Source organism: Homo sapiens, chromosome 1, assembly GCF_000001405.40.
Source record: "Homo sapiens chromosome 1, GRCh38.p14 Primary Assembly".
Taxonomy (NCBI): domain Eukaryota; kingdom Metazoa; phylum Chordata; class Mammalia; order Primates; family Hominidae; genus Homo; species Homo sapiens.
The window spans coordinates 207,401,245-207,416,294 of record NC_000001.11 but is presented as its reverse complement, the minus strand read 5'-3'; the positions used below and the strand labels follow the sequence as shown (position 1 = coordinate 207,416,294).

Here is a 15,050-nt window from a genome sequence, read left to right as displayed (position 1 = left end):
AACTTTCTACAACAATGAAGTGTTCTAGATCTGTACTACCTAATACAATAGCCACTAGCCATATGTGCCTACTGAATATTTAAAATATGGCTAGTGTGACTGGGAGCTGAAGTTTCCATTTTATTTAGACTTAACTAGCTCAAATTTAAATAGCCACATGTAACTTATGGCTTGGTATTGGACAGCATAGAACATCTATAGAAAATCAAAAGCAGTGGGTAAAAAATGAGGAATCAGAAGAAGGTAAGCATGTTCTCTTTCATTCAGAAAACTCAAAACCAGTAGAAAGGGCTCTGGGCTTCTGGAAATCACATAAAATATTTTCTTTAATTACTTAAGAAAGGGTGACTCTGAAAGACAAGCAATATATATTGTATGAATTTTTTTTTTTTTTTTTTTTTTGAGATAGGGTCTCATTCTGTTGCCCAGGCTGGAGTGTGGTGGCATGATCATAGTGTAGCAGGACAAGCCACGGACAAAACCTCTCAGACACGGCCAAATAAAGCCAAATCCTTCCTTAACCCACTGTCTGAGAGCTCGGTTTTTGAGACGTGAGTCTGATGAAGCTCCTGGCCAAATAAATTCTTCAGAGAGCTGGGTTCTTGAGGCGCTAGTCTGCCGAAGCTCCCGGACGTTGAGACGTGAGTCTGCCGAAGCTCCTGGCAAAATAAAGCCAAATCCTTCCTTAACCTGGTGTCTGAGAGGTTTTGTCCACGGCTCGTCCTGCTACAGTAGCTCACTGCAAATTCAAACTTCTGTGCTCAAGCAATCCTCCTGCCTCATCCTCCTGAGTAGCTGAGACTACAGGCATGTGCCAAGTACACCTGGCTAATTTTTAAATTTTCTTTGGAGAGAGGGTCTTGCTATGTTGCCTAGGCTGGTCTCAAACTCCTGGCCTTAAGCCATCCTCCCACCTTGGTCACTCAGAGTGCTAGGATTATAGATGTGCATCACCACGCCTGTCCTGAACTTCAAGTTTCAAGGCACATCTCTGTTCTTAGAGAAAAAATTAAAAGACTATATATCAAAATGTTAACTTCAGGTGGTGTGATTGTGAATAATTTCTGTTTCTTTATACTTGCTACATTTCTCCAATTTTCTCCCAGAGCATGTCTAAGTGTTTATATTTGTATTTGCTTAAAATCTTGTTATTTGTCTAGATATTTTGAGTGCAATGACCTCCTTACCCCTGCCCTACCAATTTCCCCCATTTCCTTCCTCATTCAATTGATCACTGTGACTGCACTTCATAACTTCTGGGAAGGCATAAGGTTGGTAAAAAAGCAGAAGTTATCTGCAAGATTTCCGGTCTTTTATTTGTGAGTATAAATGTTTTCAAAATTTTTAAGAGAAATTGGGAGTTTGGAAGAAACAGAAGGGGATCAGTGAAACTCCCTCCAGAGAACGAAATGATTCCCAGGGGTTGAGAGACAGGCTTGTGCATTTCAGAGTAGAGGGGACCTGAGATTGACTTTGGTGGTGGTAGGTCTTGCATGACCTCAGAGGGAAATGGCAGCATGCTACAGCTGGAGAGTAGAACTGACAGGAGCTGGGTGCCTCTGCCTTATGAGAATGTCTCATGTCTCACGTGTGGTGTAGAAGCCACAGAAACCTGCCAACTCGGAAAGTGTCAGACAGCAGAAAATAACATGTCAGTGATAACTTTTGTGGACCCAAGGGCTCAAGCCCCAACACTTTGTATAAGTCCCTTGGACTTTGACACACAGCCTTCGGTTGGGTGTGCAGGGCAGAAGAAGGAATGAAATGGAATTTTTCACTATCTGAACAGGAAAAATTTAAACACTTAAATTAACTTGCGTTTTTTAAAAGGATGTGGAGAAACTGGAACCCTTATGTGCTGCTGATAGGAATTAGAAATGGTGCACCTGCTGTGGAAAACAGTTTGGCAGTTCCCCAAAAAGTTAAAGTTAGACACAGAAATAACATATAATTCAGCAATTCCACTTCTAGGTATATACTCAAAAGGATTGATAGTGGAACTCTAACAGATACTTGGACACCAATGTTAATAGCAACATTTTTCACAATAGCCAAAAAGTGGAAACAACTCAAATTTCCATAAACAGATAGTGGATTAAAATATGATACATATGTACCATGGAATATTATTCAGCCTTAAAAAGAATGATATTCTGATAAATGCAACAGCATGGATGGACCTTGAAAACATGCTGAGTGAAATAAGCCAGAAACAAAAAGACAAATACTGTATGATTCCACTTACATGAGGTAGCTGGAATAGGAAACTTCATAGAGACAGAACCTAGAGTAGAGGTTACCAGGGGATGGAGGCAGTGGGAACAGGGACTTATTGTTTAATGGGTAGCATTTCTGTTTGGGATAATGGAAAAGTTCTGGAAATGGATAGCAGTGATGGTTTCACAACATGGTGAATGTTCTTATTGCCATAGAATTGTATACTTAAAGATGGTTAAAATGTTAAATTTTATGTGATATATATTTTACCACAATTTAAAAATATTAAATGTTAGCTTTTTTCCCCTGTTCTGAAGTTTGTTAAAGAGATTCAGAACAGCCTTTAGTCTAGAGCAAGCTTGTCCAACCCACGGCCCGTGGACCACATGTGGCCCAGGATGGCTTTGAATGTAACTCAACATAAGTTTGTAAATTTTTTGGCTATTTTTTTTTATAGCTCATCAGCTATCGTTAGTGTTAGTGTATTTTATGTGTGGCTCAAGACAATTCTTCTTCCAATGTGGCCCAGGGAAGCCAAAAGATTGGACACCCCTGGTCTAGAGTGAACATAGCCTCAGTACTAAGACAATACCCCTTTAGTTTTCTACCTGATGCCCCGTGTGCTATAAGGCCTTTCCACTCTAGCTAGTGAGAACACCATATATTCCCAGCCTAGTTGAGCTTCAAGAGTTTTCTGCCTATGTCTTCCTGGTGACTATGTCTCTGGCCTCAGGTAACTTCCTCTACATATGTAGATATACTCAACCAAAGACTTGAGAGTACCCCTCTGCAGGTCTCTGTGCAGCACCTCCTTCTCTGATCTTCTGCCCTTGTCCACCAAACCCCAGCCTCTGACCACTCAACTCAAGACTGCTGGCTCTCTGGGCTGTAACCTGGTAACTGTCTGTAGGTAACGAGTTGTTCCTGTGATGCATGCAGCTCACCTTGTTTATTTTCCTTCTCCTAAGGTCACAGTCCTGTGCTCCCTCTTACACAATGACTTGAGGTGGCCCTTAGACAGATTTCTGGAGCTCTTTCTGTCTTTGGCTCTATTATGTACTTTCCCCAGGAAAGTCCTGCCACCTCAGACTCCCTGAACCTTGATCTCTATCTCTTAAAGTCTAGGAGCCCACTGTGCTCTGCTTGGGCCTTCCCTGTCTCGGTTGTGGTCCAAAACTCATCTCTATGAAGAAAGCAGCACAATTGTTGGGGCAATTAATGTATGAAAACAATCACTTTATATTTTATCCAGTTAAATTGTTTATGATAGCAGGGAAAGTCTGATTCTAATTATGCTGTCTGGATGTGGAAGTGTGAATTACTCTATTTTTCACTTTTAGAATTTCTGTTGTGTTCTTTCTTAAATATGCCCTATCCTTTGCAATATGTCTGTCTATTATGATTTCTCCTCCTTTCTTCTCTTTGAATATTGTAGATATCCTTAATTTAAAGCATTTTTGTATTTTTCTATTCTCTGTATTTCTTTAGATGTGGTTTCTCTAATTCATTGCATCCCAGAGCTCTCTCTTCCCTAGTTCTTTGTCTCCTCTTGAGGATTGTACATTTTTTCTAAGAACTCATCTTCAGTGGGAGTTTTTTCCACAGGCATCAAGTGCACTGGTTTGTGGAGGTTTCTTGTGACAAGGGGCACATTTCATTCTACCAAGGGCCCAGTAGTTTCAATTTATATAAGAATTTCTCAGTTGGGGTTTTCCACATAGACAGGATAATGTAAATTCACACAATAGCATTAGCAAGGTTCAGAGATGTGCTTCCTGTGTCTTTTTTTCTCCCATAGCACAGAGTAGTTGACTTGCTTCTTTGCTGCTTCATCGTCTTAGTGGTAAGGGTATTCTAATTTTCATTTTATGGACTGGCTGTCAGATTTATTAAAGAGCCCATTTCTAGGTGCCAGTGTTGCATGGGACTTTAGACTCAAATCCAGAACCCTGGTATGTGCTAAAATCATGGCCCTCCCCCTAGGGATTTACCCCATTCTGTCTCCTCCATAAGTCACTGGGTTTAGCTCTTACTCACTACATTGATTTTCAATATTCTATTTATTTCCTCTCCCCGAGGATTTCTCTCTCTCTCTCTCTATCTCTCTCTCTCCCCCCCTTCTCTCTCTGTGTGTGTGTGTGTGTGTGTGTGTGTGTGTGTGTGTTTGAGACAGGGTCTCACCCTGTCTCTCAGGCTGGATGGAGTGCAGTGGCCTGATCTCAGCTTACCACAGCCTTAACCTCTCAGGCTCAAACAATCCTCCTACCTCAGCCTCCCAAGTAACTGAAACTATAGGCACGTGCCACCATGCCCTGCTAATTTTTTGTATTTTTTTGTAAAGTTGCTCAGGTTGGTCTCGAACTCTGCCTGCCTCAGCCTCCCAAAGTGCTGGGATTACAGGCGTGAGCCATCACAACTGGCCCAGGATTTCTCTTTCTTAATTTCAATCTCAGTTATGTATTTTTAAATTAATTTTTAAATTTATAATTGACACATAATTCTACATATTTCAGTGATACATTTAAAAATTAATTTGGATTCATTGTATCCATTTTTCTAATTATTTTGTGTGGGATGAGATGGCTTCAAAAGTCAGCCTTGTCATGATGTTGCCTTGATGTGTACTTATATGTAGTGTTAAGTACAACATAGTATTTCTCGAGTCATACATTTTCAGGAAGTGTCAATAGTCTTTAACTTCTTTTTTTATTGTTAATGGTTACATTCTTTTTTCTTTTTTACAAATAATTTTAACTTTTATTTTAGATTCAAGGGATGTGCAGTTTTATTGCATGGGTATATTATGGAATGCTTAGATTTGAATTATCCCATTACCCAGATAGTGAGCATAATACTCAACAGTTAGTTTTTCAACCCTTGCCTCCTTCCCCCTTCTATTAGTCCCGAGTGTCTATGTCCATGTCCCGAGTGTCTATGTCCATGAGTACTCAATGTTTAGCTCCCACTTATATGTGAGAACATGCAGTATTTGGTTTTCTGTTCCTGCATTAATTTGCTTAGTATAATGGCTTCCAGCTGCATCTGTGTTGTTGCAAAGAACATGGTTTCATTCTTTTTAATGGCTGTGTAGTATTCCATGGTGTATATGCACCACATTTTCTTTATCCAATCCACCATTGATGGACACTTAGGTTGATTCCATGTCTTCGCTATTGTGAATAGCATGGTGATAAATATACAAGTTCATATGTCTTTTGGTAGAATGATTTATTTTCTTTTGGATATATATACCTAAGTAATGGGGTTGCAGGATCAGATTATGCATTTTCTTTTGGATATATACCTAGTAATGGGATTGCTGGGTCAGATGGTAGTTCTGTTTTAAGTTTTTTGAGAACTCTTCAAACTGCTTTCCACAGTGGGTGAAACAATTTACATTCCCACCAACAGTGTATAAGATTTCCCTTTTCTCCACAGCCTTGCAAGCATCTGTTGTTTTTTGAGTTTTTCATAATAGCCATTCTGACAGGTATGGGATGGTATCTCATCATGGTTTTGATTTTCATTTTTCTGTTGATTAGTGATGTTGAGCATTGTTTCATACATTTCTTGGCCACTTATATGTCTTTTTTTTTTTTTTTTTTTTTTTTTTTTTGAGACAGAGTCTCGCTCTGTCACCCAGGCTGGAGTGCAGTGGTGCGATCTCGGCTCACTGCAAGCTCCGCCTGCCGGGTTCCTGCCATTCTCCTGCCTCAGCCTCCCGAGTAGCTGGGACTACAGGCGCCCGCCACCACGCCCGGCTAATTTTTTGTATTTTTAGTAGAGACAGGGTTTCACGTGTTAGCCAGGATGGTCTCGATCTCCTGACCTCGTGATCCGCCTGCCTTGGCCTCCCAAAGTGCTGGGATTACAGGCATGAGCCACCGCACCCGGCCTTGTATTTCTTCTTTTGAGAAGTATCTGTTCTTGTCCTTTGTCCATATTTTAATGGGGTTGTTTTTTGCCTGTTTAACTGTTTAAGTTCCTTATAGATTCTGGATATTAGAACTTTGTTGGATGCATAGTTTGTAAGTACTTTCTCCCATTAGTCTTTAACTTTTCATGAATATATTATTTATGTTATGCTTTGTTTCCCAAGTAAATTTCAAGTGCTAGTATAGCAATTTATTATATCCTTATTTGATTGTAAAGTACTGGCATGGAGCATGCTATTTTAATTTGTACGCTCCAGGGCTCCTAATGGAACCCCAGCCTAATACAGTTATGAATGAATATCTGTTGAAAAGAACACAAGAAATGATATTAATTTTTTTCTTTTTTCTTTTTTTTTTTTTTGAGACGGAGTTTCACTCTGGTTGCCCAGGCTGGAGTGCAATGGTGCGATCTTGGCTCACTGCAACCTCCGCCACCCAGGTTCAAGCAATTCTCCTGCCTCAGCCTCCCGAGTAGCTGGGATTACAGGCGTGTGCCACCACTCCCAGCTAATTTTGTATTTTTAGTAGAGACAGAGTTTCTTCATGTTGGTCAGGCTGGTCTTTAACTCCCGACCTCAGGTGATCTGCCCGCCTCGGCCTCCCAAAGTGCTGGGATTACAGGCATGAGCCACTGCACCTGGCCAGTTTAATTTCTTTAAAATGAAACTTAAGACAAAATTTTACCTTTTTGCCTCAAGATAATTGTTAGATATTCAAGTGTGTAAATGATCTCTTGACTAGCAGCTATTTTTTATTTTCTCTGTTAATCTGATTAGAAATATAGCATTAGAAAAACTCAGTAAGAAGTTGTATCTCCTCGAAGAAGCAATGCTTTCATTAGCTAGTGTGGAAAATGATAAAGTGGTTCCAATCCTTTTCCATTTTATTTGTTATAATTAATTCAGATATACAAAGATGTATTGACACTGATATAATAAACATATAACAACCAGCAAAATAAACAAAACCTTATAAATGGGAGTAGGAATGGAGGAGAAATGAATGGTGGTACTCTCAGGTGGCTGTTATGGGACCACCCAGGGACAGTATCAGAATCTGAAGCCACAGTAGAGTGGGATGCAGGGGCAGGAAGACCCTTCTGTGAGAAGGAGGTGGGGGCTGGTGAGTGCCCTAAAACCTGTTCCTGCTTGCTTATGGCTCCAGAAGGAGTGGGTATCTCCCAGAGGGCTCATGTAGTGTGGGACTGAAAGAGTCTCTGGTTGGCCTCATAGTTGGAAACTTCAGGAGCAGTTGGAAGCCCTTCATAACTCCTTGCTTTAAGAAAATCCCTAGATACCCCTAGCTGGAAATTTATGCAATTGGATTGTCCCAGATTTCCCTGAAGAAGATGGGACTTCTTGGGGTCTTCTGCAAAGGAATAAATCATTTGGAAACCATGGCACTCTGGATATTGTTTTTGAGAGTTTTTGTAAAAGTGTGGAGGGACAAAAATGTGGGTGTAGGAGAGCATGACATTAACTTAGGGAACACAGCAGGGAAACAACTGATCCGGGTGCCTGATTCCTCTATTGGGCTCTTAGGACAACCTCTCTCCAAAAGGATCCAGGATCACTGGAGGGACAAGTAGCAAGGGGTGAGGGCAGGTTTTGGGAGCGAGATGGCCTTAGCACTGAGCAGGGCAGCCTTGATGGGCTTTGTTGGCTAATTGAGGACAGAGAGCAACGTTCTATCCATAGGCAACTCTTCTTTCAGACAGGGAGCCCAGAAGAGTACCTCAAAGGAAAAAACTTGAATTGTATATCAGAAAAAAACCTGAAAGAACCCAAATATCTATTTCCATGAAACTTTAAAATCTAGATTAAAGTTTACTAAGAAAAAGAAAAAGGAAGACCAGCAATGATAATTGTGATTCTCAAGAGGCAGAAAAAAACACCTCTGAAGTTGAGTGTTTATCCATTTCACTCTTGAGAAAACAAAGATTAACTATGTTAAATGACACGTTAAATGTAAGGGAAATGTGGGATCCACTCTTGGAAGAGCTTTTAACAAGCTTGCATCAGTTATCTTCACAGCAGGTTCTTCTGCAATGATTGCTCAATAGAATTGATTCATTTCACTACCAGGAACTATGAAGGAAAGGTCAGCAACTCATTTCCAGTTCTTGCTTAAAGTATAGTCATGTTAGCAGACAGCTTTGAGATTCTCTACTTTAAGTTCTTAAATTCTCAAGAGAGGGAATTAAGGTCCTGAGTGGTAAATGACCCACCCAGGATCATATCTGCCAATGACAGCTGGGGCTGGAATCTGATTTCCTGACACTCAACCTAATGTCTTTTCTAAGTACAACTCAAAATTTCTTGTGATTTGGAGAATATGCTAAGCATTGGCCTATCTGTGAAATATGATTAAGATAATATTGACCTCAGGTTAGGAAATCACTTGTCCAGAGGTAATAAAACCTTTTCAGGGGCAGGAAAAGATGTGCACCAGCCCACATTTGTTTATTGCCTGTGATGGGAAGGGAAGATACTCAATGTTTCCAAAGTCAATTTTAGGCCTTGTATACATCCTAAAAGAAACATTTGCGATTAGTTTTGAGTATGCCTGGTTAGATTATTAGGACCACAAGTAATTCTAGTCCTCTTCTGTTTTCTGTAGTGGCAGAAAAGAAAGAGAGCAAGTATGAGATTAGCTCTTTGGGTTTTGCTTCTTCTTTTTTTCTTTTTCTTCTTCTTCTTCTTCTTCTTCTTCTTCTTCTTCTTCTTCTTCTTCTTCTTCTTCTTCTTCTTCTTCTTCTTATTATTATTATTATTATTCTAGAGACAGGGTCTCACTCTATTGCCCAGGCTGGAGTACAGTGGCACAACTCACTTTAACCTCAAACTCCTGGGCTCAAGCAATCCTCCTACCTAAGCCTCCCCAGTAGCTGGGACCTCATATGCGCACTACCATGCCTGGCTAATTAAAAAAAAAAAGAAGGAAAGAAAGAAAAAGAAAAAGAAAAAACTTCTTGTGGTGGGGCGGCGGCGGAGGGGGTTGGGTCTTTCTATGTTGTCCAGGCTGGTCTTGAATTCCCCTCCTCAAGGAATTCTCCCACCTTGGTTTCCCAAAGTGCTGGGATTACAGGCATGAGCCACTATGCCTGGCCTGCTTCTGATACTTGTAAAGATGTTCATGGATTGGGTGGGGAGGGGGTGGTCAGGAGGCAGAAATTAGGAGAAATTGAGGTTGCAATTCAGCTTCCCTTCTGCATAGAGCATATGGTCGAAATCTGTTTTTCTACAAAGACATATAACAAGTACTTAAAGGTTCCACTGAAATTAAAGACTGGAAGGCGACTTGTGCAGATGTCATGAAACAGGAGCAAAAAAATGTGACTCCGTTTTTATTTCCCTTTCCCATTCCTGTGGTTCTGTCGTTTTATGCAAGTCAGAATCCTTTTGATGGGAATAGAGTGAAATGGGAAAGGGAAGTGGCGGAGAAGGGGAAACAAAAACTTCAAGGGAAAGAATCTGACATTACTGTTCTTTATAGCAGACTCCAGCCCCAACATACACACTTCTTACGTACAGCGCCTTATACACACAACCAACACATACAGGCATTCAGTTAGTTTGGGTTTGTTGTTGTTGTTTGCTACTAAGACATACGTTTGTTAAGTTATGTAGCTTTTTTCTTGTTGTTCATCTAATTTATGTAAGAAAACTTAGCAATAATTCACCTAGTAATGTTTTAAGAAGATGGCCACAGAGAGTGGGAAGATAGAAAAATATATATCTAATAGATTATATAGGCTTCAGATTTCTGGAGAATTTTCATTTTGAGGGTCAGCTAAATTCAGCCTGATATATATGCTTTTATGAAGGATTCTCTGATCTCCCCATAAGTGTCTCACATTCAGGGACCTCATTATCTTTATTATGTAATTTTACAATAAATTATGGTTCTATTGGACTTAAGCATTTATACAAACATTAGCTCCCTTAATCATCATAGTTGTAAATGGGGCAAATCTTACAAAGAACATTGAACTTGGAATCAAGAAATCTAATATAAATTTCTAGCTCTGCCATTTGTCAGTTTATTGAGTTTGGATGAGTTATAAGATCTCTTTGAACTACATCTTCCTCATCATAAGATAGAGACAGTAAACACTTTCTCTATCCCCCTCAGGGGGTGGTGGGAAGGATTACATGAGACAATGTATATAAATGCAGAAAGTATTATAGGTTTGTGAAGTGTTTATTGACATTGTTACAGATGACAGAATGAAGGCTCAAAAGGTTCAGTTAGTAAATGGAGAGTCATCACAAAGGTATATAAATGTTATACCTGGGACTTCATATTTAAAAAGGTCTGAGGGCTATAAATAAGTGTGGATAAGAAGTCTTGGCTCTGAAGTTCAGGAAGAACAGATAAGAGGCCTATGTAGCTAACTAATCCATAAATAAGGGCCACTAGTTTTTTTAATATATATTTAAACTTTTGAATTTTAGTTAATGTTTGAAAAGACTTTGTGAATACCTCAAAAACTTGATGTTACTAAATTTGCAAGTAGGAATTTAAATGCAAGTTATCATCAGCAGAAAATATTATTTCATCCTGTATTAAAAGCAAGGCCAGGTGTGGTGGCTTGCACTTCGAATCCCAGCATTTTGGGAGCCCGAGGCGGGCAGATCATCTGAAGTCAGGAGTTCGAGATCAGCCTGGCCAACATGGTGAAACCCTCGTCTCTACTAAAAAAAAAAAAAAAAAAAAAATACAAAAATTAGCTGGACATGGTGGCAGGTGCCTGTAATCCCAGCTACTCAGGAGGCTGAAGCAAGAGAATTGTTTGAACCCGGGAGGTGGAGGTTGCAGTGAGCCAAGATTGCACCATTGCACTACTATAGCCTGGGTGACAAGAGCAAAACTCTGTCTCAAAAAGAAAAAAAAAAGACAAATTGTGGTGACCCTGATGATGTGTACCCAATAAAAACCACAGAATTCCTATGTATTCAGCACCTCAGCTGTTTCAGTGTGACAATGGCCTCACTTACTGTGCAAATCCTTAGAGTACTTACCTACCACTAGATGGAGACATAGCCATAACTGATCAAAGTCCACTTAGCTGTTTAAAAGAAAAAAATACCTTACCCTCCAATAACCATATATGAAAAAGTACATATTCATTAGCAATACAATGTGATAACTTTCTTTGATATTTTGATACACTTGCTTGAATTTTTAGTATTTCAGAAATGTGAACTATTGTCAGCTGTGAAGGTTCCAAGTGCCTTCTAGATGGCGTATTTATACCTCAAATCTCTGGAACTGGGTAGCAGAAGACAGTAAGTTATAAAAGCAAAATAATGTAAAAAAGTATATATATAGTTTTTAGAATAGTGTGAAGAATGTATTTTCTATTAAGGAACATGAAAAGATCTAATAAACCTAGTAACCGAAAACTTCTATAAAGTACAACTTTCTGCCTCTGAATTCAGAGATTTTTTTTTCCAGAATAATCCTAGGTAGATGTATTTGCTTTATCAATTCTGTCTGAAAGTCTGTGACCCTATTCACTCTATAGATTCAAGGTTATCTTCAAACTAGGGACAATTTCCTTTATTATTTATATGTTTATTGTCTACAATGAAAATGTTTTATATATGTGATGATGTACTTATATATGTACTATGTTAGGTCATTCTTTCATTGCTATAAAGAAATACCTGAGACTGGGTAATTTATAAGAAAAGAGGTTTAATTGGTTTATGGTTCTGCAAGCTGTACAAGAAGCATAGCGTATCTGCTTCTGGAGAGGCCTCAGGAAGCTTCCAATCATGGTGGAAGGCAAAGGGGGAAAAGACATGTCACGTGGCAAAAGCAGGAGCAAAAGGGAGAGTGGTGGTGGGGTGGTGCCATGCACTTTTAAATGGACAGATCTAATGAAAACTCACTCACTATCATGAGAACACTACCAAGTGGATGGTGCTAAACCATGCCTGAGAAATCCGGCTCCATGATTCAGTCACCTCCCTCCAGGTCCCATCTCCAACATCAGAGATTATAATTCAATACGTGATTTGGGTGGGGACAAATATCCAGACTATATCATGCATATATGTATGTGTACACTTATATGTATCTATATTTTTATAGAATGTGTATCATAAAAGTGAGATTTATAGGTTAAGCATTATATATACTTAAATGTTATCAGAAACTGCCAGATTACTTTCCAATTACTTTCCATTGTAGAAATTCATACCTCTACCACTGATGTATACCTTTGTTTTACCAAAATCTTTTCAACTTTGAATGCTTAAAATTTTGCCAATCTGATTAATAGAGACTAATTTATAATTTTCTATTTTCATATCTCTAAATGCCTGTAAGGTTAAACTTCTTTCCATATATTTGTTAGCTATAGGCAATTTTCCCTCTGTAATTGTCTATTGCTTCATTTTTGTCCAATTTTTTATTTGACAGTCTTTTTCTTTTCAGTTTGTAGAATTCATTTTATATTGACTATTAATCAGTTGCAAATATTTTCTCTCTGGCTTACATTTACTTTTGCCACATAATTTTTAATATTACATTATTATTTTTCTTTATATTTTCTGAGTTTTATTATGTTGAAGTTTATCCAATTGTTATTCCCAATTTTTACTGTGATACACACAAAAGGGAATAAAATCATATATGTGTATTTAAGTTTTAGTATATAGTCCACCTGAATTTTCCTTATACAAATGGTGTGTGCAGCAATCTTTCTTCCAAAACTGTATACATTTATGCTGGCCTCATTTTTAAAATACAACATTAATTTCTAATAAATTGAGATATTATGTTCATCCTAGATTAAGTTTTCATATAGCACTGTATCTGTTTTTGTATTATTTCACTCTTGGCTTATCTATTATGAAATATATATCAGTACCCTTTATGCTGAATTTTACAGTTTGAGACATCTTGTTTTAAGGAATTAAAGATATAAAACAATAAGTAGTCTTAAAAATTAATGACAGAACTCTCAAATTTAGTAAAATTCCTGTACTTCCCATAGTAAAGATGAACAATTATTACTTGTTCCTCTTTCTGAGGCATCAGAAGTTATAAATCGAGAAGATTACTATTTTTCCTGAAACCTAAACATAACACAGAGGTTTTTGTTTTAATAATTTTTCCACAATGAATAGTTCTATTGTTTTGATTTGAATTTTTTCCCTACAATAAATCATTGTTTCCTTGGTAGCAGTGTGGCATATTGTCTCATTGCAAATTACCTAAACTTAGCGCAAAGGCCTTTTTCTCTGAGTGGGACTTCCAGTAAGGGAAAGCCTGCAGTGGCTGCTTAACTGTATGCTAGCCTGGTTAAAATGTGTTTCTCCCGGTTCCTCCTACAAACACTCAGAACCACTATTGAGTAAAAGTCATCCCATCGTTGGCAACCTGTCTCCTGAAAATATGGGTTTCTGATTGGTAGTTTTAATACTTTTAGCCCTGGATAAAATATTTAAATTCACATATCTGTTTCATCAAAGATATAAGTCTTGCGGGTCTTAGATTTAAGGAAAAGCTTTAGATTTTTCTTTCTCATTTTCAAAGGATAAAATAAGGCCCAGTGCGGTGGCTCATGCCTGTAATCCCAGCACTTTAAGAGGCCAAGGCGGGAGGATCGCTTGGGATCAGGAGTTTGAGACCAGCCTGGCCAACATGGTGAAACCCCGTCTCTACTAAAAATACAAAAATTAGCTGGGCATGGTGGCAGGCGTCTCTAGTCCCAGCTACTCGGGAAGCTGAGGCGAGAGAATCATTTGAACCTGGGAGGTGGAGGTTGCAGTGAGCCGAAATCGCAACATCGCACTCCAGCCTGGGTTAGAGTGAGAATCTGACTCAAAACAAAAACAAACAAAAAGGATAAGATAAAATCCATAGCTTTGTTGGATTCTTTTTTTTTTTTTTTTTAATCTGAGACGGAGTTTTGCTCTTGTTGCCCAGGCTAGAGTTCAGTGGTGCAATCTCGGCTCACTGCAACCTCCGCCTTCTGGTTTCAAGTGATTCTCCTGCCTCAGCCTCCCAAGTAGCTGGGATTACAGGTGCCCGCCACCACGCCCAGCTATTTTTTTGTATTTTTAGTAGAGACAGGGTTTCACCATGTTGGTCAGGCTGGTCTCGAACTGCTGACCTCGTGATCCACTCGCCTCAGCCTCCCAAAGTGCTGGGATTACGGGCGTGAGCCACCGCACCCGGCCCTGCTTTGTTGGATTCTTATTCGGAGAATTAAATATTCCTTGTCTCTTTTAAATTAATAGTTGCCTGGGGACTATATAATTCAGCTCTGATGGGGATATACAATGACAAACAGAGGTAAAGTTAACCTCTACCTGTGGTTCAGGAGGAGGAGCGCCCCCTGCCTTCTGTCCCTAACCTGCTCAGAACATCATTGACAATGAGCTGTCCATGCTTGAGAAGATCTGCAGAGCCATGAAAATAAAGAGAACTTCACGTATGTGTGGCTGTTGCTGGTTGTTACCAAGGTTGGATCCTTAGGACACAGGTTTTCTTTTTTAATGACAGGAGGAAGACTGCACACCTTCAAACTTAAGGAAGAGTGGTCTACGTTTCTGTTTTGATAGTTCACTAGGTTAGAGCCCTAGTCTGATTAAAGGAAGGCAATGGGTTTCCTTATGTGCGCAAACTGAGGGCCCAGTAGAGGAAGGTTTGGGTTTTGCAGCGTGGGTGACCAGCAGCAGAGCCCTGCAGCTCTGTAGGCAAATCTCTGACCTCCCCAGATTCTTCCATCAGTAACAGGGCATGGCCACCCTCTGGTGGATAAATACAAAGCCATGTTCTGGTTCCCCAAAGCTCACTCAGGGAAGTGAGGGAGCTCTGGATGGGACAGTTCCCAAGACCAGCCTCTACCTGCTGTGGTTCAGGTTCCTATCTGATATG

General features: G+C 39.4%; 1 long non-coding RNA gene across 2 annotated transcripts; it reads left to right on the top strand.

Annotated features, from left to right (window-relative positions):
- The first annotated feature begins 60 nt into the window (after positions 1–60).
- LOC124904498 (uncharacterized) lies at positions 61–14,607 on the top strand. Of its 2 annotated transcripts, none has more exons than XR_007066848.1 (2): positions 61–243; positions 14,411–14,607. It is a non-coding gene; the product is annotated as an uncharacterized LOC124904498 (long non-coding RNA). The 2 variants fall into 2 exon arrangements; XR_007066847.1 differs by lacking the exon at positions 14,411–14,607 and adding an exon at positions 410–521.
- Positions 14,608–15,050: the final 443 nt, after the last annotated feature.